General features: G+C 46.5%; 1 protein-coding gene across 22 annotated transcripts in view, besides 5 other annotated features; it reads left to right on the forward strand.

Moving 5' to 3' along the window:
• The window catches only part of ARHGEF10 (Rho guanine nucleotide exchange factor 10), a 135,313-nt gene that overhangs the window by 66,844 nt on the left and 41,615 nt on the right, over positions 1 to 26,854 (forward strand). For 19 of the 22 annotated variants that reach the window (XM_047422452.1, XM_047422450.1, XM_047422454.1 and 16 more), the window contains 7 exons: positions 3,397 to 3,474; positions 4,221 to 4,400; positions 6,161 to 6,277; positions 8,261 to 8,353; positions 13,109 to 13,279; positions 15,399 to 15,544; positions 19,123 to 19,298. In XM_047422452.1, the coding sequence (XP_047278408.1) occupies positions 3,397 to 3,474; positions 4,221 to 4,400; positions 6,161 to 6,277; positions 8,261 to 8,353; positions 13,109 to 13,279; positions 15,399 to 15,544; positions 19,123 to 19,298 (961 nt within the window). The remainder of the gene's footprint in view (positions 1 to 3,396; positions 3,475 to 4,220; positions 4,401 to 6,160; positions 6,278 to 8,260; positions 8,354 to 13,108; positions 13,280 to 15,398; positions 15,545 to 19,122; positions 19,299 to 26,854) is intronic. The other 3 variants (NM_001438092.1, NM_001308153.3, XM_047422451.1) reach the window with 1 other exon arrangement.
• Positions 7,231 to 7,525: a silencer, noted in NCBI's record as "tiled region #1960; K562 Repressive non-DNase unmatched - State 12:CtcfO". NCBI's record gives its function as "represses a minimal TATA promoter and a strong SV40 promoter by Sharpr-MPRA in K562 cells {active_cell/tissue: K562}" and the evidence as "EXISTENCE:reporter gene assay evidence [ECO:0000049][PMID:27701403]".
• Positions 16,104 to 17,303: an enhancer, noted in NCBI's record as "BRD4-independent group 4 enhancer chr8:1854442-1855641 (GRCh37/hg19 assembly coordinates)". NCBI's record gives its function as "activates an origin of replication core promoter dependent on BRD2, P300/CBP, MED14 and CDK7 cofactors, and independent of BRD4, by STARR-seq in HCT116 cells {active_cell/tissue: HCT116}" and the evidence as "EXISTENCE:reporter gene assay evidence [ECO:0000049][PMID:35650434]".
• Positions 18,312 to 18,413: a silencer, noted in NCBI's record as "fragment chr8:1856650-1856751 (GRCh37/hg19 assembly coordinates)". NCBI's record gives its function as "represses an EF-1alpha promoter that drives an FKBP-Casp9 reporter gene in an ReSE screen in phorbol 12-myristate 13-acetate-treated (for megakaryocytic differentiation) K562 erythroleukemia cells {active_cell/tissue: K562(+PMA)}" and the evidence as "EXISTENCE:reporter gene assay evidence [ECO:0000049][PMID:32094911]".
• Positions 21,619 to 22,221: an enhancer, noted in NCBI's record as "H3K27ac-H3K4me1 hESC enhancer chr8:1859957-1860559 (GRCh37/hg19 assembly coordinates)". NCBI's record gives its function as "activates a minimal SCP1, AML or CMV promoter by ChIP-STARR-seq in naive H9 embryonic stem cells {active_cell/tissue: H9 hESC(naive)}" and the evidence as "EXISTENCE:reporter gene assay evidence [ECO:0000049][PMID:30033119]".
• Positions 25,851 to 26,350: an enhancer, noted in NCBI's record as "H3K27ac hESC enhancer chr8:1864189-1864688 (GRCh37/hg19 assembly coordinates)". NCBI's record gives its function as "activates a minimal SCP1, AML or CMV promoter by ChIP-STARR-seq in naive H9 embryonic stem cells {active_cell/tissue: H9 hESC(naive)}" and the evidence as "EXISTENCE:reporter gene assay evidence [ECO:0000049][PMID:30033119]".

Raw genomic sequence — 26,854 nt, forward strand, 5'->3', positions numbered from 1 at the left:
GGTTTGTGAGGAGACACTGAATAGGGTGAGGGTTGTGAAGAGACACTGAGTGGGGTGAGGGTTTGTGAGGAGGCACTGAGGGTTGTGGATTGTGAGGAGACATTGAGTGGGGTGAGGGTTCTGAGGAGACACTGATGGGGTGAGGGTTGTGAGCAGATACTGAGTGGGGTGAGAGTTGTGAGGATACACTGAGTTGGGTGAGGAGTCTGTGAGGAGACACTGAATTGGGTGAGGGTTGTGAGAAGACACTGAATGGGTTGAGGTTGTGAGGAGACAGTGAGTGGGGTGAGTGTTGTGAGGAGACACTGAGTGGGGTGAGGGTTGTGAGGAGATTCTGAGTGGGGCGAGACGGGTCTCTGAGGAGACACTGAGTGGGGTGAGAGTTTTGAGGAGTCACTGAGTGTGTAAGGGTCTGTGAGGAGACACTGAGTTTGGCGAAGGTTATGAAGAGACACTGAGTGCAGTGAGGGTTGTGAGGAGACACTAAGTGGGGTGTGAGGGGTCTGTGAGGAGACACTGAGTGGGTCACGGGGTCCGTGGGGTGTCACTGGGTAAGAGTCGAGGTTCTGTGAAGAGAGAGTGAGTAGTGATTGGTAGGGGTGTGTGCACATATCAGAGGAAAGAGGTTTGACCTTTTTGTTGTATGGCACTTTTCCAAGGGCCTGTCTGTTGGGTACTGATTTTGGTGGATTTGCTCAGCGAATTGGCAGTGACTGTTCATTGTTTTATGGTTTCTGTAAAGGGTTTAAGCTTCCCAAATTAGTCTCACAGACCTGGATGAAATTCTGTTTTTTGCTCTGATTATCTCAGTTACTTTTGTCTAGTAGTTAATTTCTGAAGTTCAGTTTTCCTTTTCTTTGAAGGGTGGATTTTAATGTCTATTTCCATCTTGCTTATCCCACCGTAATGGTTCAGTGAAGTCCTGTATAGCAAGGTCTCTGTGTTGTGTTAGCACAGTGCCGTCACTTTCAATGAGATGATAGCTGGGATTACGATTAGAAACTTAGCAGTATTTAGGATTTCTGCATTCTTTCATGCAGCTTTCTTTATTGTAGTCATGATTCACATCGATTTTGTTTTCCTCCTGCCAAATGTGTTGTCCATGAGAGTTTTCTCTTGAGTGGTTAAATGGGGGGTATTGATGCTCTTTAATTCTTGTTCTCCTCTAGAATTGAATTAAGGGAAACATAACTCTAAAATGCTGTATATTAAACATTCTTTGCATGCCTAATTTGGGGGTGGAAAAAGGCAAATGTTCTTTTTGAAATAAAGAAGGGTCGTTCTTTACTTGGAAAGTACCCTTGATGCTGGAGGACAGAGGATCCTGTCCCGTCCCCATTCCCGGTGAGGACATGAGGAAGGTCAGGCTGGGCCAGGCCCAGGCACCATCCGCAGCTCTCCCAGCTCAGGCCTAGGAGCCTCTCTGATTGTCCTCCAGCCCTGGCTTTGTCCAGTTGCCCCATGACCTTCATGCCAGGGACCCTCCCTGTGGGGGCTGCATTCAGGATGGATTTCTCCTCTATGACTTTAGGTCAGGCTTCTCAGGAAGAGAGTGACACTCTTCCTGAGCACTGGAGGCTCCCTGTCCCACCCCTTAGTGGGCATATAATTTGACGTGTCAGATTGAGCTGCCAGAAAGACTGACATCACGTGCAGTAGCCATGAAACCCAGAATATTGGTTTTGTTTTTGTATTTTAATATTATACCTATTCCAGATCTTTTGACCTGATACTATATTAGTATCATCTCAGGACTTTAAAAAATATACATACATAATATATATACACATATAAATAATACATATACATAATATAGGTACACATATCAATAATATATATAGTATAATATATAACATATTATATATATTACATGTATATATACACAAATACATTTTTATGTTTGACCCCCACAACTGTGACTCAGGAGCCTTGGGAGAGTGTTTGGGAATCTGAATTTCAGAAGAAAGACTGGCCTGGGTTTGATGATGGGAGGGGTTGCTTGGCCTTTGGGTTCTAAGCTCTCGTTTGAAAGGGAAGCCTCTGTGCTCTGACGTTTCCTGTGAATCAGTCAGTAGCAGCAGCTGCAGCTTCCCAGCTTCTGGCTCTGTGTGTGTGTGTGTGTGTGTGTGTGTGTGTGTGTGTGTGTGTGTGTGTGTTTAATCCCAGCGATACCTGTATTTTTTAAATACATTAGTATTTTTTTAATACATCAGTTTCTTCTTTGGGTATTTTAGAAGGGTTGATTTTTGTCTTTTGCGAATAGAATAATCCTTTCTCTAAAAGGAGTAATCTCTCCATTGTTAATCAGGTTTTGTAAATCTTGGTTGCCCTGCAATCTTTTTAACCAGAGAAATTTCCGTTGTGAAAAATGCTCTTTGCCCGCTAGGTGGCAACGCAGTCCCTTCAAATAGCATAATCCAGGGCTGCAGGTAGCCTGATGCTACACTGGAGTACCCGTGTGTGTGCATGTGTGTGTGTGGTGTGCTTCCGTGCGCGCACGTGTGTGTTATCTTGCACATATATGGGGTGGGTGTGTACAGGAGTGTGTGTGGTGTGGTGTGCCCGGGCGTGTGTTCATATGCGGGAGTGCGCATGCTGGTTTAGGAGAAACTCTATTGCCCTGTTTTGCTCTGTTTTCCATGAATTGGCAAATTGGAAGTACAATGATCACTAGCTGGACTGTGTTTAGAATGAGGGAAATGCCGGGCGTCCTCATAGGCCTTTCACGGGATCTTACAGCCACAAGTCTATTGTATGTGCTTCAGTGATGAAAAGCAAGATGGAAAATAACGTCAGGTTTTGATTGCAAACATGTCAGATTGTAGAGATTTTTTTTTTGCACCTCTAAGTGACATGAATAATTTACTGTCCACATTCTTGGCCTCATAGGTAGATCTTTGGATGGTTGAAAGATCTTTGCAAAAAAAAAAAAAAAAAAAAGATTCCTCCACATTCCACAAACTTTGTTTTCTTAGAACTTTGGAATAAATATTTTAGATAAGTGTTGCTAATAACATTCATTGATCAAGACTGGAACTATTTTTTATCCTGAATTCATAGGAAGTATCATCTACCTGAATGTTGGATACATAAAATACAATCTGTTAATTCAGTATATTATCGTTGCATAAATGAAGGAATTTCTTTTCAGTGCTGTAATTTTTTTTGTCCCAGCTGTAGTTATAGTTCATAGTTTGAGGTTTAAGACATTATATAATTGTATTAATGGGGCGAAGTATGTTTTGTACCTGTAATGTTATTTAATTAGGCTACCCTTGTGCACTGTTTTCTAAAAATAGAAAAGTTACTTATCAGCAAGCCTCAGCATAGAAGTAAAATGTATCTGTGTGTATTATAAAGCAGTTTTCTATCATTGTACTTCCAAATTTCCAACAGGTTGTAAGAAGATATATACTGGGTTCAGTTGTCGACAGTGAAAAGAACTACGTAGATGCTCTTAAGAGGATTTTGGAGGTACTTAAGTGTCGTGTTACATAATACATACATTTCTATTATTCTTTTTTACCTATATACATTTTGATCCATAAATGCAAAGCATATATGTTTATGAAACATAACATGCAAATTTGCAAAATTCTCAAAAGGATCTAAGTATTATGTCTGTATATTGACATCAAAAGTCATGATTTATGTTGAAATAAATATAATTTATGTAAGTGAATATTTACATTCATTTATCTAAGCTTTAAAAATGTCTGGGCCAGGCTCGGTGGCTCACCCCTGTAATCCTAGCACTTTGGGAGGCTGAGTCAGGTGGATTGCCTGAGCTCAGGAGTTCGAGACCAGCCTGGGCAACACAGTGACTCTCCATCTCTACTAAAATACAAAATATTAGCCGGGTGTGGCGGTATGTGCCTATGGTCCCAGCTACTCGGGAGGCTGAGGCAGGAGAATTGCTTGAACCCGGGAGGCAGAGGTTGCAGTGAGCTGAGATCATGCCATTGCACTCTAGCACGGGTGACAGACTGAGACTGTCTCAAAAAAAAAAAAAAGAAAAATGTCTGAAGCAGCCATGCCCCCATGGAACATGCCTATAATCCCAGTTACTTGGGAGGCTGAGGTGGGAGGATGGCTTGAGCCCAGGAGTTTGAGGCTGCAGTGAGCCATGATCGCACCACTGCGCTGCACCCTGGACAACAAAACAAGACCCAGGCTCTGAAAAAGAAAAGTCTGAACTGTCTTTGCTCATTTTGTCTTAGCAATATGAGAAGCCGCTGTCTGAGATGGAGCCAAAGGTTCTGAGTGAGAGGAAGCTGAAGACGGTGTTCTACCGAGTCAAAGAGATCCTGCAGTGCCACTCGCTATTTCAGATCGCGCTGGCCAGCCGCGTTTCCGAGTGGGACTCCGTGGAAATGATAGGCGATGTCTTCGTGGCTTCGGTAATTAAGCTGGGACACCTGGATGTCCATGGGGCTCTCCATGCACCTGTCCTCTCTTCCCTTCTTAGGCTGATGTTTTGCCCCTGATCTCCTGCAAGCTGACAAGTGTGCAGTTCTCTCTAAAGGCCAGGCTGAAGTTGCAATGCCCTGGCCAAGCGTGTGCGCTAGGGAAATGATAAATGGATCTTTACCAGGGAGGCCAAGGCGTTAGAAAGGCAGACACTGGACAGAAGCTGTATCTGAGGACATTTAACAATATGCACTTTATCGAGTCTTGGATGCCCCATTAGACGATTTGCTGAAGCTTTTTGTTGTTGAACAAGGATGCCGTGTGTTTGGCAATGTTGTAAAATTGCCGTTTTTAAGCCCTCACACAGGTTCTCTTCCTGATCTAGGTGTCACTTTCTGGGTGCAGAATTATCTGTGCCTGGGAAAAATAGAAAACACGTGATGGGAAAATTCCTAGATGTTTTCTCAAACTTTTGCCCTTGGCTGTAGCTTCTGTTGTGTAGATACAGGCTTTCGGCCCTATGCTGTGACACAGGAATATGATGTTGCAACAGCTTGCCTGAACACTTCCTGGCAGGAGAAAGGGTTAGCTGCCTGGAAACCACTGGTGGTTTCTGCACTGGCAGTTTCGAGTCATTTTATCCTCACTCCGTGTATGAATCATACTTATTGTATATTGGTTGGATTCTACCTAGATGTAGAGGATTATGAGTGAAACAGATTGGTTTCTGTAATTATTTGAGACTATGATGCTATCAAAGGGATATAAGCTTGCAAGTTTTGAAAAAAGTGTTCCTCTTCTTAAATGAATGTTATAATAATAATACGTGAAATGTTTTCCTATATAGTTTGTATATGTACTTGATGAGGTCTATAAATGCTTTGAATAAATATGGAAACAAAATTCTTTCAAAGATATTTGCATAATACCGTTTATGGATCCTTAAAAAAAGAGAAATATTGGATATTTATTTTGTTATTGGATTTTTTTTCTGGCTGTTTTATATATTAGGTTCAACCTTATCACTGTTCTTTAAATACCTACCTTCCCAACATTTTTAAAAATGCAAACAGATTTTTTAAAGAAATAGAATTTTGATGAAAACATTCCTGCTATCAATGCCAGTCACACCAGAGCTCTGCCATCCATCCTAAAGGACTTACGGTTTCTTAGAATAACATGGAGTGATTTTTCTCTCTTTGAATATTGATAGCAAGGGCAAATGTTTCTGCCTCTTAACAGAAACCTTTGTGCTTTTAGGAAAACGAACACGTGTAGGGCATTGTATGTTACGCCAGAGAAGCAGGATCAGCCCCCGCCCCCAGCCCCCATTTCTAGGGTGTGGTTGAGGCCTGTTTCTCAGGATATTGGGCCCACCATGGAATGAGTTGCATGACTTTCTTGCCTGGAGGTTGAACCCACCAAGTGAGACTTGGCAGGAACTTAAAATCACCATCCTTATTTGTCTGTAGTCATGAACATTCTTAACTGAAACCCAAATTACCATGGTTTTGAACAAGGATGTCAGAAAGTGCTCTGGAGTCAAAAAATAAGGTCAAACCAGCAACTTAACTCCTAACACGCTTGCTTAAAGAAAAAAAATCACACAGTCATAATAAAGTTTATCTTATGAAAACATCACAGTGACCGAAAGAGTATTTTGAGGGCGAGTTTCAAATCTTCTGTTTTATGTTGGAAAAGGGATATCTGGACTCTGTGATTTCTCTCTGAATTTCCTCCTGTGTTTCAGTTTTCTAAGTCCATGGTGCTGGATGCATACAGTGAATATGTGAACAATTTCAGCACAGCCGTGGCAGTCCTCAAGAAAACATGTGCCACAAAGCCCGCTTTTCTTGAATTTTTAAAGGTAAGCGCTTTTTTTTTTCATTTGGGTTTTAACACCATCTGATAACAAGTTACATGTCAAAGCTTGACTCTGAATGCAGTTATTCGTTATTAAGATTTCAGTATCAATAGTGCCCTAGATATTGGATTAATGCTAGAAATGAAGATGAATTTTAGGTCCTAATGTAGCTTTTTGAAAACAATTTTATTTGCACCTTCTTAAAAGTGTATCAGCAGACAGACAGAAAGAAAGTTAAAATCAGATCCCCAAAAAAGAAGTCAAGATCAGATCCCAAAGTTACCTTTCCCTCACTGTCCTTCGGTATGGTATTAGGAATCAAATAAACTAAACATCTCAATTCCAGGCCTCTTTGGGATCGGGGAGAGGCACCGGCCTGGAGAGTCAGAGCCTGGAGCGGGCCCTACCCGAGGGGGACGCAGGCTGTGTTCCTCCCAATGCTGAGGACAGCACTGATGGCCTTCCTCAGGGGTCTCTGACCTGGCAGTGATGGGGAGCACGTCCCCTGATGGGTGTGGGTTAGCGTTATTTAATCAGCAGGCAGGCAGGGCTTCCCCAGTCGTGGGATGCGTGTCCGAGGCTGTGTTCTGACAGTTTGCTGCACAATGAACCAAGCTGAAACCCCCTTCAAAGACGTCGGCGGAACTGAGTCTCCTTTGTGGAGCCCCTCATTTGCATGATAAACCCCGGGGACAAAGTGTGTTCTTGTTACTTGGACTGTTTCTTGGAAACTGCTGCTACCTGGAGCGAGTGAACACAGGGCAAGTATTCTCGCCCACAGCAACGTGTCATTGAAGCTGGAATTTTTTCCCTCTGCCTTATCCAGCACGGCGGCTCCTGCTCCTCCTGGAGCACAGTCTGTGGCCCATGGAGGTTTGCTAAGGGATCGGATCGCAGTTCCCACTCTGGACAGCTGTGAGCTCTGTCCTAAGGGATCGGATCGCAGTTCCCCCTCTGGACAGCTGTGGGCTCTGTCCTAAGGGATCGGATCGCAGTTCCCACTCTCGACAGTTGTGGGCTCTGTCCTAAGGGATCGGATCGCAGTTCCCCCTCTGGACAGCTGTGGGCTCTGTCCTAAGGCATCGGATCGCAGTTCCCCCTCTGGACAGCTGTGGGCTCTGTCCTAAGGCATCGGATCGCAGTTCCCACTCTCGACAGTTGTGGGCTCTGTCCTAAGGCATCGGATTGCAGTTCCCACTGTGGACAGTTGTGGCCTCTGTCCTTTGGCTAGGGAACCATCTCTTTCTTTTGGGGAAAGAAAACATGGACTCACTTAAGAGCTCACTCCCTCTGGGGATTTTGCTGTACTCCCATTAAGGATGCCAGCCGTGGCCGTGACCGCAGTGCCCACTCCTCAGCTCGGTGGCTGCCACGTGGCCTTGGGAGATAGACTCTCTCATCCCATTTCATTGCTCCAGGACCTGAGCCCCAAAGAGTCGGGTGCCCTGTGAGCTGAGAGGCCGAGGCACAGCCAGGTCTGTGCTGTCTGCCCTCTCCACTGCACAGCCCCCTCAGCAGAGGGACCTGGAGACTCCCCCCAGGTCAACATTGCCCAACAGCCTTGGTAGCAAATGGCCCCACTGCACATCCCTGATGTGCTCAGGGAGAGGAGCCGTCAGCCTCCAGGACGTCTTTCTGCCCATGGCACCGGAAGAGGTTGCCAGCCTTTTCTGGGGGCCCACTATGGCCAGAACACAGACACCCAAGGACAGCCCCTGGAATCTGCCCAGTCCCCTGGCCCGGGGAATTCACCCCTGGAGCTGAGGCCAACGTGTGAGGTCGGGCCCCTGCAGCAAAGCGGAAGCCCCTAGAGCAGGTGCAGAAAGTGGCTGGAAGGTATTTGGCCAAGTTTCTTCTTGTAGCTGAAGACAAGGTGCAGGCTTTTGACTTTCCCGAGTGTTCAGTGTGGTGGGGAGGAGGCGGCCCCAGGGGCAGGGAGGGCATGGCAGCCCTGCAGGGAGGTGACCCCGGTGCCTTCCCCCACAGCAGGAACAGGAGGCCAGCCCCGATCGAACCACGCTCTACAGCCTGATGATGAAGCCCATCCAGAGGTTCCCACAGTTCATCCTCCTGCTCCAGGTAAGTGCTTCACGGAGACCTCCTCAAGCTAGTCCTCTGGCTCGCCCATGACTCATTTGAAAATGGCGTCTGTTCCTCCACTTTGGAATGGCTGCCCCTCGGGCCTCCTCATCTCCTCTCTAGGCAGTTACAGGAGGTGGAGGGTAGAGGCAGGTGGAGACCTGCGGAGAGTCACCCTACGCCGGGGGCAGCTGTAGGGCCCAGTGCCTGCGAGGCCAGCCTTGGGGGACAGAGGGGATGGGCTGCGGGGAGGGGTGTTGTGGGCCCTGGCCTGCCTCACGTGCTCTCACAGGGCCCCAGCACTGGGGGGCCGCGGGGCTTGGTTATCAGTGGCCCACAGGTCACAGCTCCCTTCTCCAGTGTGTCTGTGTCTGGTCTAGGATCACATGAAAAATGATTCTCGCCTCTGTGCCCAGAGGGGATGGACAAGCTTGGAAAGCTAAGAATAGATTTAAACAAAACATACCCATCACTGATTTAACAGCAAATCACCGAGGACAGGGAGATGCTGCGATGGTGAAAACACTGTCCACTGGACCCTCATTTCTCTAAACTAAGGATTCTCAATTGGATACCTGTGGCTGTGAACAGTAGGCCTGTTCTGAGTGCTGACGTGACGTCTCACAGCGGACGGCCTCTAGGTCACGTCTGATGCAGTGTGTGGTTGCCCGCTCGTTTTCCGACCTTCCCACATAACCTGGAGCCCAGGTGACCCTGTAGGCTGCGGGGCTCAGCACCCATTTTATTTAAATGAATGCCATGCCTCCAGGGAGGATATTTCAAAGGAGAGTCTATGCTGGTTTCTGCCTGTGTTGATTTTTCAATGATTGCTCAGCTTGCTTTTTCTAATTAAATCAGAGGACTTTGCTTGGACTGCCTGCTTATTAGAGCCGATTAAGATGAACTGGTGGAGTCATCGCCAGAAATGAACTGGCGCCTGGGAAATAGTGTGAAGTCCCCTTCCATTGAGGTTATTTTTATTTTTGACCAACCAAATCCATGGCACATTCTTTTTAAATAAATGTAGTCATCAAAGTATGAAAAAGGATACATACTAAAATATCGACATGGGCTCTTTCCATGGTTAGGTTGATGGCTCATGTTAATTTTATCCTCTGGCTTATATTTTTAACAATGTGCAGTTTGCCTGTATTACAGCATTAATAACAAAAGCTGTTTTTTCCCAAGATCAAAATATTCAAAGTGTGTTTTATTTCTTTAGCTGACAAATATGTACTGAGTTCTAATACGTGCGAGACGCTGTTGGCTTCCGGCAAGCAGCCACAGACGTGATGAATGAGCTTCCTCGTGTGAGGGAGTCTGGCGCTTGGGAGGAAGGGGGTCAGGCCGCCTGTTAGACATTAGTTATTCAGCCACAGCTGGGAGAGTGTCACCAGGCTGTGAACCATACGGGCGGGTGAACCAGCCCACATGCCCTGTGTTTAGCGATGCGCCAGTGAGTCCCTGGGTCGTTCTTGGTCGCCAGGGACGACAGCAAGTGCTGACTGTGTTGTGAGGTCACACACGTTGTTGGCTTTCTATGATTTATCAGAATACTTTCTAAATTTTTTAAATTTATTAAATTTGGATATAATTTTCAAACAAGCTTGTTAGGTTTTGGTTAAATGTAAGTAAGTAACTACAAGTAAGTAAGTAAGTAACTATTTTTGCCTAGGTTTTTTCCGAAATACATTCTTTTAGACAGAAGGGGTGGGCGGGCTGCTGGAAACGGAACAGGACAGAGAACCGCAGGGAAAAGCCTCTACCGGGATTTTGAGGAGCCCGAGCAGCTCCCACGTTTCCATCCACCTTCAGCCGTCCTGGGGAGGTCGTTGTCCCTTTTTTATGCGCTAGGAAACTGAGTTACGCTCTAGGAAACTGAGGTTTAGGGAAGCTGATGATTCTCCCATGGTGACACAGCCCGACAGATGTGCTGGGATTCTAACACAGTTGTCTAGCCACAAATCTAGTACACTGTCCACACCCCAAAAGGATGCCAGCCAGGACTTTGGGAAAAGCAGCAGATGGAACACTGCAGACGTGCGCTGTCGGACGGGCATGGCCTGCCTGTTACACACTGCGCCGTTTACAAATCTGTTCTTGTAAGAATTTTGTACACTTTTCTTTTTTGAAAACATACTTCTAAATATTTAAGTTCTCTGAGGAAGGACATTCTTAAACTCAGAATTCCAGTTATGTAATAAACTCAAGAACTTGGGTGTCAAAAGACTTGCACTTAGAAAGATTCAGTGTGCTCTTCCAGATCGTCACCAGCAGAGTTACGTAGGTCAGTTTGCACACAGCTCTCCCCGTCCTCCTCCCTCCTTGCCTCGAGAGACCCTCTTTAGAATTTCCCACACAGGGTCTGTTGCCCCTGAAGGAGAAAATGGTCTTTGCCTTGATCTGACAAAACAAACTGCAGATCCTAGATGTGCCGAGCAGTTTCCCTCAGGGACACTTTTTGCCCACATTTGATGAAACGCTGGCGTATCCTAGAGTGTTCTCGGAGGGGAGCAGGGTGGGTCCACGTACTTTGGAAGAGGCAGAGTTGGAAACAAGGTGGTGTCTGTGTCTGGAGTCATTGTGTGGATGTGCCTGAGGGGCCCTACCTCAGGTGTGGGTACTCAGGGCACCCGGGATGGGGCGAGGAGACAGGCTGCAGAGAGTCAGCAGGTACAAGCACATACCCTCCCTCCTGCCTTCTGCCGTAGTCCGTGTGCTGAGTGTAGGTGGATGGGGAGACAGTGTGGAGAGGCCTGGACACCCTCTGTCCCCTTCCTCCCAGTGACTCTCCTGGTCTCTGCTCTCCGGTCTTGCCTGCGTTCTTCCTGGTTAGTGCTCCCAGACCTTCTTTCTAAGACAGGTGCTGTGAAGCCACAGCTGTCCCCTGGCTCAGGCAGTGAAACCGGCTCACCCTGGCTATGCTGGTACTGTCAGTTTCTCCCATGGATCCAGAAACATCCATTGGCCCTGTGACATTTGTCTTTATCCCAGCTACCTATTTCTCTCCGTTGTTGTGCAAAGATAAGTAACAATTTCTGATAATAACAGCAGCGAGAAACTTCACTTTTCTCCTTCCCTGAGCCTCCTTGGGTGGCTGCCAGCCCGGCGGATGCCCCCGGCTGTGCTCAGTGGCCCCACGGCATGTCGGACTCCACCCTGTGCTGGCTGCTGTCTCCATCGCACGCCTAGTCCCCGGTGCCACCACCAGTGTGTGGGTTTGGTGCAGAACTAGTGTTAAGATTGTTCTTTTTTGCCTTGATAGAATTCGTTGTGACTCATAGGAAAACAAATGTATAGAATAGTTTATATTCATTACAAACTGGAAACATTTAATCATTTATGCAATGTCCTTTCCAGATTTTAAAAAAAGGTTTAAAAAGATAAGCACGCTGTTGAATTCCATGACTACTAATATTCCTATAAACATGTCAAAGATGGTAGGCAAGACGCAGAACCACATTTTTTTTTCTCACTCTAAGTTCTGGGATATGTGTGCAGAATGTGCAGGTTTGTTCCATAGGTATACCTGTGCCATGGTGGGCTGCTGCACCTAGCAACCCGTCATCTAGGTTTTAAGCCCCGCGTGCATTAGGTATTTGTCTTAATGCTCTCCCTCCCCTCACCCCCCGCCCCGCAACAGGCCCCGGTGTGTGATGCGCCCCTCCCTGTGTCCATGTGATCTCATTGCAGAACCACATTTAATTCTGAGAAAGAGTGTTTCAAGTTCACGTTTGCCCCTTCAGCAAACGTCAGCGTGTCGAATGTGAACGAAAGCTGGGAAACAAAAGGCCCTGCATAAAACCAAGGTGACAGAAATGTCCTTTTGTTACTGCCTGTTAACGTTTATCCTGTGATTGGCAGCAGTGCGTCATTTTTTGCTGGCTGTTGTTGTTGATTTGTGCCACATACCCTCCCTTTGACCTCCTCGTGCTTGTCTGAAACCTTAACTGGGAGAAGAGGTAGCTCAACTCCCTTTTTTTAAAGACTACTTTTTAAGAGAAATTTTAGGGTCGCAGCAAAATTGAGCGGAAAGTACAGAGGTTTCCCATCTACCCCTCCCCTAACATGCATAGCCCCCTCCCCCCACATCTCCACCAGAGTGCATTTGTGACAACCAGGAGCCTGCGTGGCCACGCAGCCACTGCCCAGCGGCCACAGTCGCAGGAGGGCGTACCCTTGTGCTGTGCATTCGGTGGGTTCGGATGAACGTTTAGTGACATGGACCCACCACGATAGTGTCATGCATCTTTGCCGCCCTAAAATCAGGTTCCTTTGTCACTGTGAGAGAGACTCGATCCTGCTGTGTGAGTTGACACCATGGGTGCAGTATTCGGCACCACAGTACTCCTGCACATTGGAAACTGGGAGACTGGTGTTTTGAAGAAAGTAGCTGGACCCATCTGTGCATGGGTTCATCTGTCTGACTCAACTTGAGAAGGAGAATCTATCATCATCGTGAGCATCGTTCCAAGTGCACAGTATTTCTGAGATTGTGATATGTTCATATTTAGCGTGTCCTTTATTGTACAGTGCTATTTTTTCAATTTTGTTTTTGCAAAGGAAGCTGTTCAGATGTTCAGCCAAGTCGTGACTCACTCAGCTCATCATCCCTTCCCAAGAACTGACTTTATTTTTCCCCAGGATGGCAGATGCCACTGCCTCCTTTCCATTGTCAGCTGGCGGGTGACGCGACTGTTGTTGCACTGGGAGTGTCCACGTGGTAACTGCCCACCTCTCCCCTGTTGCTTGTAGGACATGCTGAAGAACACCTCCAAAGGCCACCCCGACAGGCTGCCTCTTCAGATGGCCCTGACAGAGCTCGAAACACTAGCAGAGAAGTTAAATGAAAGAAAGAGAGATGCTGATCAACGCTGTGAAGTGAAGCAAATAGCCAAAGCCATAAACGAAAGATACCTGAACAAGGTTGAGAGAGGTTTTCTTCAACTCTATTCCAAAATTATTTTTGCTTTGTGCTAATAAGCTGTCGTTGTCCAGCAATACTAATCTTTTGGATCGTTTGGAGTAATTCCCTTCGCCCAGAGTTCTTAACCGGGGTGGATGGAGGCCTTCGGGAGAGTCACACCAATGTGGAAATTGTATGTAAAACCTTAACAGCCTGTCTTAACAGCATTTTCTTAGGAAAGAGATTCATACATTCATTAGACCCTCAAATGGATCCAGGACCTCCCAAGGGGTTAAGAGCAACTCCTTTAGCTTACTTTTCCTTTCAAAATAACGGTATTTAATTTCAGATAGTAATAGTTAAAGCTGAAAATATTTACAGGCTAGGCACAGTGGCTCACACCTGTAAGCCCAGCACTTTGGGAGGCTGAGGTGGGAAGATCGCTGGAACCCAGGAGTTCAAGACCAGCCTGGGCATGATAGTGAGAACCCATATCTAAAAAAAGAAAAAAAAAATAGCTGGGCACAGTGGCATGCACCTATATAGTCTGAGCTACGTGGGAGGCTGAGGCCAGAGGATTGCTCGAGCCTGGGAGGTCCAGGCTGTGGTGAGCTGTTATTGAGGTGCTGCACTCTAGCCTGGGTGATGGAGCAAAACCCTGTTTCAAAAAAAAAAAAAATTCACAAACATTTTTTGTCTTCACCTATGCATGGGCTAAGCTGCATTGAGCGTGAAAAGAGATGCAGGACCCAGAAGGCGGCAGTTCATTTGCCAGGCTACATTTCAGCTTGATGCTTACATAACTACTTGTCTGCAGCAGTACTCTGAATTTATGTGGGCTTTCCCGTATTCACTGAAGGCCCTGGCTCACAGGGAGATGGTAATTTGTATGAACTGTGTTAAGTTATTGCATCTAATATTCATTATTGCTAAAAATCATTATTGCTACAAATCATTGTTTTGTCATTAGGAGTAGTTTCTTACGTTACAATGACATTCAGTAATGTAACTGTGCGAACTTTATGGTAATACACTTTAAGCCACATATTTTCCCCATTTCTCCAAGTGGTTTATGTAGGAACGTTTATAAGCAGCAAATTGTATTCAGTTATATTCTTGACATGGTTCATGTTATTTAAAATCATGCTCCCTGTGGCACTTGAACCTCCGAATACACATGGGGCACGGAGCAAGCCCAGAGGCCCAGGAAGAGGGGATGATGCTTCGCACTGAATGTCACCCACATGCCTCATCGTTCCCGTGCACTTGGCAGGGACATTCAGGGAGGCGGGTGTCTCGCTGGTTGCTCAGAGCTGGGCAGCAGCGTAGGTTTAGAATCAAAAGACAGCACAGACCACCGGGGCTGAGGACTCTGTTTTTCTTGTGGGCTGAGTTGTTATAAGTATTGGCCGGGTGCAGTGGCTCACGCCTGTAATCCCAGCTCTTTGGGAGGCCGAGGTGGGTGGATCACGTGAGGTCAGGAGTTCCGGACCAGCCTAACCAACATGACAAAACCCCGTCTCTACTAAAAATACAAAAAGAAACAAATTAGCTGGGTGTGGTGGTGCACACCTGTGGTCCCAGCTACTCGAGAGGCTGAGGCACGAGAATCAATTGAACCCAGGAGGTGGAGGTTGCAGTGAGTTGAGATTGTGCGGCTGCACTCCAGCCTGGGTAACAGAGCGAGGCTTGGTCTCAGAACAAACAAACAAAAAAGGTAGTGTGACTTCTACATCGCATACCATTGTCTTGGTTCATACAAAGCGTCTTTCTGAAGAACTGATGGTTTTGCTTTGGCTCAGTGAAGTAAAATATGGCCTACCTTTAAGAAGTTAAGATAGTCATTTAACTATGCTTAATTAGGTTTACTTGGGGAAAAGTAAAATTACAAAACAATTCCTTGCATTCCTCACCGTTCCTGGTTAATGTAGTGTTTAAATCGCGGGAGGGCCAACTGCGGTGAAAGTCTGTGAGGAAGGAGGCGGATGTTCAGCGCAGTCACGGGGAACATAGGAACGATTTCCGTAAAGCGCTCAGTTTGGAAAAGTCACCCTGAGACTCCATACCAGACTTCTCCTCATCTTTTTCTTTTCCGGGTAAACTGAACTGTGGTCCCTGGGCTGTGTTTTGAATGTCCAGCTTCTCAGCAGTGGAAGCCGATACCTCATTCGATCAGATGATATGATAGAAACAGTTTACAACGACAGAGGAGAGATTGTTAAAACCAAAGAACGCCGAGTCTTCATGTTAAATGATGTGTTAATGTGTGCCACCGTCAGCTCACGGTAAGTGCATAAATTCTCTATAGTAGTCCTACCATCATCACATGTTACCTTTGCCTAAGGGCACATGCATGACTTTGTTAATTCTGTCACTCAGACTGAACTGGTTTTTTGTGCCAAAGCTCTGTCCTGTGACTAAGGGAACCCTTATAATAAGCAAGCTTATTTTTAAATAGATTCAGTGTAAGTCACCAAGTCACTGTTAGTAGAAGTACGTAGAGGTTTATATACTCTTTAAACAGGGCTGATGGCGGAACTAGAAACTCAATTGAATTTCTTCATAACCCTCCTAAATCAAGAGTTCTTTTTCTTATGGTTTAAATTCTCTCTTTACCTGCTTCTCTATAAATATATTTTTGATAAATGTTTAAATATAATAAAGTTGGGTATATTCATATTTATTGTAAACCAAGAAAATGAGTTATTTTCACTTAAAATAGTTTTACATCAGAATCGTTCTCCAATGCATGGAATATTGTAGTGAGATGAGGATATGTGAGAAACTAAAAGGTCTTCAAATACAGGTAGATGATAAGGGAACTGATATAAAGTTAACTATAACACTCCTGGTGCTGTAGAAAATAATGCAAGCGAACGTGGTGCCAATTCGTCATGTCTTGCAAGAGTCAAGTGTTGAATCTTCCAGAGTTTTGAGATCCAGTTGCTAAACATTTGGTAGCTTGAAGTCATCCACACGGGAACATTTACAGCATGGAATTTGCCCAACACGATGTGTTAGGAGCCTGTCCTCCCAGTGAGAGCCAGCTGTTAAACGTTTGCCAGCACACCACTAAACATGCCCTATTTTTCATGCCCGTCGCCCCCATTTTCCAGCGGCCAGATATATCTGCCTGCCCTCCTCACCTTGCCTTAGAGACCCAGGCAGCGAGGGTGTGCAGGTCAGCGCTCAGGAGTCGGACTCCTTAGTGTGAACTGCACATCCACCTTCTCTGAACTCTGAAAATTACCCTCTCTGACTTTGCCTCGGACTCCTCATCCGTGCAATAGGGTTGATCATAAAAATAATGCCAGTGGTACGCTCTTGCGGGTCTCTTCAGGGATCAAGGCGAGAACGTTCATTAAGCTGCTGCAGGGCACCTGGCACACGGCACTGCCTGCGAGGGACAGGTTTTCATTGTTGCTTTTCATCATCGTCAGTGACTTTGTGGCAGCTACAAAATAAGTCCAAAAAATATGTGAGTCTTTAATGACACTCCTTCTTGTAAGAGAAAGAACCCTGTTCATTTGACTCATACCCCATGGCTTGGCCTTCACTGTGGACGCCTGGCGACAGCCGCAGGCCACCTGCCTTCTGTGTGCAGAAGTGAAGCCCACTGCACCCTGCGTTGGAGAGGAGCTGACGGAGTGAGGCCGTGGGAGGTCGCAGCTGGAGAACTCCAGGTGTGGGCTGCTCTAGAGGATGCTTAGAATTGCGAGGATGCAGAGTAAGGTGTCTCCACCCGTTTCCCTGGTGTTATGAGGTGCTTCCCATAGTGTGGAGACTAAAGGTGTTTATCACTTAACAGTATGGCTTCCAAGTTTAACTGTCCCAGAACCCCCCTCTCCATGTAACACCTGGAAAGTTAGTTTTCAGTGAAGTGGCCCCACTGTGGCTGAATCCACCCAGCTCCTCACCTGCAAGTTGGCCCACACGATGTGTCAAGTTGGGGACATTAATGCTTGTTCCACCTGCCCTGGGAGACAAGATCATAGAAGTGAAATGACCTTGTAAACGGCAAAGTCCTAAGCAAATATAATGGTCCTTGTTGAGTCTTTTCCGCATTCATCACTGATGTTTGTCTGACACTGACTGCTGCTCCAGAACCCCTCAGGCTGCTGTTGGGGAGCGCCAGGACACACTTGACTCTTGGGCAGTTTTAAGTACGTTTAAAATTCTCCCGCTGCCAGACGTGGTGTACTTTAAAGATGAATTAAAATGGATACTTTAAAAGTAACTCAGCTGTGCTTACTGCTAGAGGATTCCTTAAAATAACGCCCCTGCCTTTCCCACGATGCCAGGGCTTGAATTTCTTTTTTTGCGAAGTGCAGTGGTGAGTCGCAATTCCTTTCCCATGGACATGTTGTCAGTGTGAGATTTTCAGCGACAGTGCCCGAAGGTGATGAGATGAGAATGCATTTTGTTTCAAATAGCTCCCAAGGACCCTTTGGTCGGCCCTGTGAACATTAAGATTCTAAACCTCCTCTGTAGGGATGGAGATTTTTACATTCAAAGAGGAGGAATCGGAATTTTGGTAAGAACTCATGGGCATTTCTGTTTTTCTAAATTGGAGGCACAGTCTAATTCACGGAACACAACCCATCTTTCCTCTTACTGTGTCTGAATTGTTCTTCCTCCTTTCCCTTCCTGTATGGACTGGATGTCCTCATGGAGGGCAGAGTGCTCTGGTGTAAGAAGGAACTGGAGAGCTTGGGTGCAGACGGGCTCCCAGCCAGTCAGGTGCTCAGTCCAATGCATAGCACCCGGCATTTTGGTTATTTCTACCCACACTTTGATTTTTTTTTTTTTTTTTTTTTGAGAAAGAGTCTCGCTCTGTCACCCAGGCTGGAGTGCTGTGGCTCGATCTCAGCTCGCTGCAAGCTCTGCCTCCCGGGTTCACGCCATTCTCCTGCCTCAGCCTCCCTAGTAGCTGGGACTACAGGCACCCACCACCACACCCAGCTAATTTTTTAAATATTTTTAGTAGAGATGGGGTGTCACTGTGTTAGCCAGGATGGTCTCAATCTCCTGACCTTGTGATCTGCCTGCCTTGGCCTCCCAAAGTGCTGGGATTACAGGCGTGAGCCACCGCGCCCGGCCCACACTTTGATTTTTAACGGCAATATCTTGAAGAAAAGCAAAACGTGATGATCACTAAGTGAGAATAATGGTTGATTCTGGAGGGTGGGATTTCCTGGGGCTGCGGGGATGCTGGCGATGTCACAGCCTTGGCCTTGGAGTCCGCTACACAGATGTTGGCGCAGGTCGTTTCCACTAGACTGTACATATGTGTTTTGTGTTTCTTCACGTATATGTTCTATTTATGATAAAAGAAGAAAATAATCTGTATAAGTCATAGGGTTTTTTTTCGGTTCAATTTCCGTATACTTGATAAATATTTTAGTCATGGAGTGTAATGGTATGATTTGATTCTATTAAAGTGGTTACAGTGTAGCCATAAAAGAATAAAGCAGCAATTTGAGAGTTAACTCTTATGAAACCGCCAGAGAATATCTCTATCCACATAGGAGACTTTTCCTGGTAATCGAGCACCTTTGCTCAGAGTCATCAGCAAGCACCGAGCTGCTTCCTGTTAAGCCTTTATGGAAAACCTCGGAGCTTCCGGGAGATCCGTCCCCTGTGCGGCTCTTCCCTGCACTCTCTCTCATCCAGTTCGAGGCCTCTTTATGGCAGCAAGTGGGGACTCAGTAAGAAAGTCAGAAGCACAATTACTATTGTGAGAAAGTCTGAAGAGTTACAATTCAGCAGTGGGAAGTTTCTCACTTGAACATCTGAGGGATGAACATTACCATAACGTGTTCATGTAATTATTCGTAAAACAAGGATCTTTTGGTCGTTTCAGCCCCTCTCATGACAGCCGTGTGATGAGCAGCCAGAGGTACTTGCTGAAGTGGAGCGTTCCACTGGGACATGTGGACGCCATCGAGTATGGCAGCAGCGCAGGCACGGGCGAGCACAGCAGGCACCTTGCCGTTCACCCGCCGGAGAGCCTGGCCGTGGTTGCTAACGCGAAACCAAGTAAGTGATGCTTTCTCTCACGTTCGTGCCGTGGGGCCAGGGTAACTCTCACGTTCATGCTAGCTGTGGGGCCAGCGTAAGCTCCACCATCAGCAGGTTCAGGGTTTAACATGGCAAGTCTGCAGAGGTGATCCAGTCTCTAGAATCTGTATGCTGTCTGACTAACATGGCCAAGTCGGCTGCTCATCACTGACTTGTCCCACGTGCAGCTGGGGCTCCTTCGGGTTCGGGCCGTGCACCTGGCCAGTCAGAAGTGGATTCCGTCTTCCCGGTCCAGTGAGCTCAGTTTTGCGTTTCCAGTTAACCAAATCAGGACTTGGCAGTGCTGGTCTCTTGAGTGTGTGGAGCTGGCGTGCAGGAAGTCATAGAGCTTGAGGCGGTGGTGGTTCCAGCTCGGCTCTTTGCTCACCTGCTCACACTGCTGGGCAGCGTTGTGATGTCTTTACTCAGTTTCCCCATGGAGGCAGTGCTTGTCCATGAACTTCCCAAGGTGAAAGGAGAGGAGTCAGAATGCTTTGGCAATGTCTTAGCATTGCACATGATTTATGATTATTATTACCTAACATTGTTCAGACTGCAGATTTTAATCTTAGTGTAAAAATCATTACCTTCTCTTCATTATTAAAAAAAAAATCCAAAGAACGACTGGCTAAGTTTTATTCACTTTTTGGGCTCTACCCCTGAATTGTAGAACAATTTAAAAAACACGATGCATGGGAACTTTCAGTTAACCTTTCATAGGTTAAATATGCATGAATTTTTCAGATTATTTTGTTTCTGACATGTTCAGAAGCAAGGAAACCACGTGAGAACGTTTAACCTTTTCTGATTGAATTTGCATATTCACCTGGATTTGCAGAACATGATGTAAGGAGTATTAGGTCTAATTCGCTTTGGGACCGCTTTTATTTTTCTCATTCCCCTGATGTTAATAGTCATTCTGTTTGGTAATCTGCCTAGTAGGCTAATTCGTCAAGCATATTATTACAATTTGTAATCTCTTAAATTTCTGACTCTTAAATCCTCGTCCTATTTAAAGTGGTATGCGTCTGTATCAAACCCTCTCCACAAATAACTGAAGTACCAAAACCCAGATTTCCCAAAAGAGCTGTTCTGGGGGGTGGTATGGAGAGCGAGAGGGAGGAGCCGAGGGAGAGGGGACATGGGGACAGAGAAATCATTTCTGACATGATTCATTAACATTTTATTCAAGAGCAAATTGGATGCCTTGTTAAAGATTTTTAAAAATCCTTTTAAATTATTTGGAAACATTGATTGGCAATCAAATTTATATTGTGGTTTTGTGAACAAAAACACCTTCATGTATTTTATAATGCTAGCAATCTTAGAATTTATTCATAATTAAGATGGCCTTATTGTATTTAAATAGCTAAAGGTGACTTTGATCCATAAAATAGTATGTATTCCATGCAATGTTATATTTTCTTATTCATCTTATTATTTATGATTTATGCTGAGCTAACTTAGATTGATTCAGTTAGCAATGTGAAAAAAGCATAAAGCAGGGTGATTCAACCCATTTTTAAAATACTATGTGGAGGAAATAACCTGGAGTGAGTTTATCATTGCATTTGCACCCTGGATTTAACTATGAGCTTCCTATCAGCCACAGCAAGAGGAGAAACACTGAGTATGGACAAGTTCTCATTGTCTATTAAAAAGAAATATGCCACATTGGAGAGTAAATGTTTTTCTTTATTCTGAATTCAAGGAGGTCTTTGGTGTTATATCTCCAGTTAAGGGGACTTTGAAACACACTTGAAAACGTATATGATTGTGTTTTGCATACCTGCATTGATTTTTTTTTTATCACGTCTCTATGGAAAAGCACCTAGTTAACCTCAGTGAAACCATTTTTCCATGGGACATCTTTTTGCCCAATGCCTTAAACAGAGAGCTTAAATGATAAACTTGTTTTGCCATCAATAGTGTTTTGTTCCTCTAGATTAAAAAAGAAACTTTTAAAACAAATTATTTAAAATGTGCTAATTCTGTATGTGTCTGAAGATAGAACTCAAGTCAGAATTCTCTGGGGCTTTTTTCCGGCGTCAGGTAAGAGCATGGTGCTGTCTTGCATTTACAGAGAAGGTGAAAGTGGGCACCGTGCTTGGTGCTGGGACTGGCAGGGCTTCTATCCCGACACGTCTGGATTCATCCAGGGTGGACCGACAGTCTCTTGTTAGCATTGATCTTGAGTGGGTCTATGTGGTATCACATCCATCATGTTGATCCCATGAGTGCCACGCTGCAGCCGGTGAATGACGTCCCTTCACTCTGCTCATCTCAGCTCACTCCTTACCGTTTATGCTGACAAAACCCAGGTACATCCATGAACCACATCTCCATGGGGCTGCCTGTAATACCTCCCTCAGAGTTTTCATCAAATGGCTTCAAATTCACTCTCAGTGTTTGTTTCTTCCGGTTCTCTTGGTTTGTCACTTCTAAATTATATCGAGAAGCTAAGTCAGAAATTCTCATTCTCAGTCGATAGTCATAGGACTTCTGCTGCTTGAATGACTGTTCTAAAATTCAGTGTTGGAAATGTTGGTGTGTTACTTGATATTGACAGAGTGTAGGCAGCACTGCCCAGCAACCTCTGCTTGCAGAGCGGGCAGCGTGGTAACCACCTGAGACCAGTGAGCAGCTGCAGCAGGGAGCTCCCTGTCCCTGCAAAAGCGCCGTGTCGATTGTGTGTTTGCCGTGTGGTGTTAGACTCAGCAGGAAGCTCGCTGTCCCCGCAGAAGCGCCATGTGGATTGTGCGTTTGCCGTGCGGTATTAGACTCAGCAGGAAGCTCGCCGTCCCTGCAAAGGCGCTGTGTGGATTGTGCATTTGCTGTGTGGTGTTAGACTCAGTAGGAAGCTCGCCGTCCCTGCAAAAGTGCTGTGTGGAATGTGCATTTGCTGTGTGGTGTTAGACTCAGTAGGGAGCTCACCGTCCCTGCAAAAGTGCTGTGTGGATCGTGTGGGTTGAGTGTTTGCCGTGCAGTGTTAGACTCAGTAGGGAGCTCCCCATCCCTGCAAAAGCACCGTGTGGATTGTGGGTTTGCTGTCCGATGTTAGATTCAGCAGGGAGCTCCCTGTCCCTGCAAAAGCGCCATGTGGATCGCGGGTTTGCTCTGTGGTGTTCGACATCCGGAGTTATGATGTGGCACTTTCCTCTCTTGCAGAGGCTGCAGGCTGGTGACCATGGGTCCCCTGGTCCATGGATTGGTTTAAGCTCCCAAACTCCCTGATGCTGTTTTGAAAAATGTCGTGTCCCCTATGGATCCATGGATTGGTTTAAGCTCCCAAACTCCCTGATGCTATTTTGAAAAATGCTGTGTAGTTTTCTGGGGTGATTTTAAAGGTTTTGCCAGCCTCCCCGATTGGGACTGGTGGCGGGGAGGAGGAAGATCGAGCGTGAGCCGTCAGTTGCTCTGGCCTGGTGCAGCGTCTTTGTTGGTGCACTCCACCCGGCCGCTGTTCCTTCTCACGTTGCGCTCCATCCTGTCTGGCAGGTGGATTTATGAGAAAGTAATGTTCACTGTTGCCATTCTGTGGGGGGGTTTCTTCATGCAGGATCTTTATAACCTCAATTCATTTTCAACAGATGGACTGTCAAGCGCTCCTAGTTCTCGAGGTCTGGTACTAAGTAGGAGTTGTGGGGGTGGGTGGGGAGGTGGCGCATAGCCCCACCTTTGGGAGCCTTTAGAACGGGAGGAGAGGTGAGATCAGTTGCTCTAGCCGGGCTCTGGCCTTCAAGGGTGTTTCAGAAGAATGGCCACTGGAGAGCTGTTACCGCCCATCCTTCCCAGGGAGAAGTTCTTCGTGTGTGTGTGTGTGCACTTTTATTCAACTGGTCTCAAGTCAGTGTACAGGTGAAGTTCTTAAAATGTTTAGAGAAATGTGAGTACAACTTGAATCTACTTGAAAGGAAACACTCCTTCAGATGTGCAAATATTCATCATTTACTTTTGTAAAAATCAGTCACATTACTTTGTAGTTATTTAATCCTTAAAAATGAATGAAGGTAAAAAGCATCTGTGTTCCTCGCTGTAAGGTCACCTTTTAACGGAACAGGATTGGCCTCTGATGTTTCTGGCTTTGCTTGTTATTGGACCAGCATCTACCTGGTCCAATACCAGCGTCCCGTCCCTGCACTGGCAGCTTGCCTAGAAGGGGCCCTGCAGCTTCCAGAAGGCCGCTGCCTCCCTGTGTGTTCTCAGAACTTTGCAGCAAGAGGGGAAGTCCACTCAGACCGCCCTGCTCTGGCCCATTCCGCTTTCTGTCCCGGAAGCGTGTCCTGAGTGCCAGGAGTGCTTCTGTACAGTTGAGCTGGATATGGCGGTTGGTACAGGAGGATTTGTAACAAGACACAGTCATTATGAACAGGTAGCTGGAGGAGCTGCCAGCAAGCTTGTACCGTGAGGAGGGTGAGAGACAGCTCCTGAAACCTCAGGGTCCCTGCTGAGCATAGAGAGGGGAACTTCCAGGCAAACGCGGAAAGGGTCGTGGGTGAGGTCACAGAGTTGAGGGAGCTCCCAGAAAACACAGTACCTCCCCCACAAAATTCACACGGTTTTAAAAAACAAAGCAAAACACTACTAGCAAAGAACCAGCACCAAGGAGGGAGGAAGGCGGGCGTGACTTACAGTCTTTAAATAGAAGTGAGCCCGGCCGAAGGAAGCTTGAACAGCTGAATATACACCTGACTGATCCTCCTGAAGTAGAAGGCAGCAGGAGAAGCGGAGCTGTATTTTTAAAACGTGAAACGGTTCCTCATGAGGCTCCCCTGAGCTGCATCCTCCAGGGATGTGTGGCCAAGTGGCCGTTCTGTGGAGGCACGGAGGGGTCTGAGCAGCGCGTCCAGCCACAGCCCTGAGGGTTCTGGACACAGTGACCGATGTGGGACCCCAGGAGTGACGGGTTAGCCCCGATTTCTCTCCCTGGCCCCTGCCCGATGCACTGCATGGCCTCGCCTGTAGGCAGGGACAGTGCCTGGTCTCCAACGTGTCCTCTCCAGAGTAAGGTACTTCTGGGCGGCAAGGGTCACTGTTCTTGCTCCTTATGCCTGTAAGAGTGAACTTCGTTTTGAAGGTGAGAGGACAGGCACAGCGGAAGCCCACCATGGCAAAGCTGTCGTGTTTTGAAATACACAGCAGTCGAAATGAAGGAAACAGAACAAAATGCCTCTGTGCTCCATTGCTGTGGGAAGGGCTGCTTCTGCGTCATCTGAACGTTGTACTGTAAAACAGCACGTGTGTGTGTGTGGGAGATGAGGCCAGGACTCGGCGCTGGTTTTCCTGTATGGCGTGTGGATTTGCAGGTCCTTCCCACGACTCAAAAGTGTCATTATAACCCTTGAACGAGTACTGAGAGCAAACACACCACCTGGCCAAAGGTAGCAGGGAGGTTGGCTTTCCACACTGAATACCGTGGATAGTCCGGAAACAGTCTTCAGTAGCTTTCCTGCAATGCGACACTGAGGTCGGCGTGCCTGTGGAATGTGACACCAACAGATGAGCCCCTCACTGGGGGAGCGGATGCAGCTGCTCATTACTGTGAAGCTGCTGACCTCCTGCCACCACTCTCTGTGTCCTGTGCCCCTGTGTGCTCATGCGGCGTGTTCAGTGCAGATGAACGGCCTCCCTTCGTACAGACAACATCTGTATGCTGAGAAAGGCCTTCAAACATACATAGGGAGTAAAACCACAAAGAGCTCTCAGAGAGGATGGGCGCTGACTCCGGATGGAAGGCAGAGTGAAAACAGGGTAGGCGTGCCATGGCTTTTCAGGGATTTTTGATGAAAATGGCATCTGAAGTGAATGGAGCAAAACAGTCACATCACAGATTCTGGGCAGTGGGTAAAAATGTGTCCATGAGTTATTCTACTTTTCTACATTTAAAGAGTATTTCATACTTTCACAAAATGAGAGCCCATTAAGGAAGCCCAGAGCCAGCCTGGGACTTGGGTCCCTGTTAGAATGGCTGTTCCAAGCCCATCCCCAGGCCCAGCCTCTGTCTGGGGGAGGAAACGGGGGCAGCATGGCAGATGGACGGAAAGTGGGAAAGGGTCTTCCAGCATCACACGTGCTTTCAGGACAGTCCCACAGTGGTGGCGATGCCACATGCGTGGCTCTGTTCTCCATGCAGGTGGCTGCCGCCTTCTCCGTCACTGTGTCTGTTTATATCTCCCGTTACCTCAGGGACAAACACTGGTGTGAATTTTCTGGGTATTCAGTAACACACCCTTCAAACTCTCTGTCTTTAGGAGCTCAACAGGAGGCAGGGAGAAGTGGTTCCATGCAAAGAGGGATACCCATATTTTCTAAATATGACATGCACACTAGTCCACGTGATCTGCTGATGCCAAAATACTCATTCTCATTCCTAACGGCCTGTATAGCTGACCTGTGAACTTAGACGCCGATGCATCCCTGGAGCTATGACTGTCAGTCAAGTTGACATTCCAGAAACCTTCTATTCAGGGTCACGGCCCTGTCCAGGACCTGACAGCCAGCGTCTCAGGAAAGCTATCATAGCTCCTCAGCCATGGGGATGGGCCAGATGAGTGCCATGCCTGTGTGTCACATGCCAGTCATTCCCATAAGTCTCGTGGAGAAGACTCCCTCAGGAAAGTGCAGCTGGCACATGTCCCTAAGTGTGGACGGCCAGCCCACGGAAAGGTGCACACGCAGGACGGCCTGTGGACAGGGTCCTCTCTCTGTGTCCTAAGTGCAGACGGCCAGCCACGGAAAGGTGCGCATGCAGGAGGGCCTGTGGACGGGGTCCTATCTCTGTGGGAATCACACACGTGTGTCCTACTACACATGGACACATACAAGTTAGGTGTTGAGCAAATTAATATTATGTTCTGGGTTTTTGAACCCCATGAAGCTATAGGGATGGTTTTACTTGATTAAATATCTGGAATTTGAGACATGACATGTATCTTCGTGACAGTGTGATGTTCACGTTATAAAATGCTTGGGTTTTGTTAAAAACCAAACTGGATTTTAGTCACGGGGGAGAATTCTTATTGTTCTTCTCTGTTCAGTGCTGTGGTTTCAGCTTTGCACCTGGGAGTCTCCTAGGCCTTGCGCTGGGAGGAGCTGCCGTAACGTGTCCAGAACCACATAGGATTTATTTTGCCTGAATATAGCTGGGATCACTACTGGTTCATAACCAAGATTTCTCTATACTTTCCATGTTAGAAAACTACTTGCTTATAGAGAAATTCAATTTGTGCCTCTTATCAGACTAGGGACTTATATATGATGCTGTTTAAAAATTACCCTCTTTCTCCTGGGAATTAATTCTTGTTCTCTGTTGAAAACACTAAAACGTTTAAAGACAGTAAGAATGACCTGTAATTCTTGTATCTGGAGACTGTATTAACACATGAGTGATTTCTCTCCAGCCTTTTCCTCACACCATTGTCCGTATACCACAGTTCTCTATGTGATCCTGTATAGGGAATTTTCATTTAATATTATAGGCTGACCATTTTCTCAGTCTTTAAAAATTCTGAATCGAAGTCATTTAAACTGACTAC

The sequence above is a fragment of the Homo sapiens genome, chromosome 8, assembly GCF_000001405.40.
Source record: "Homo sapiens chromosome 8, GRCh38.p14 Primary Assembly".
NCBI classification, from domain to species: domain Eukaryota; kingdom Metazoa; phylum Chordata; class Mammalia; order Primates; family Hominidae; genus Homo; species Homo sapiens.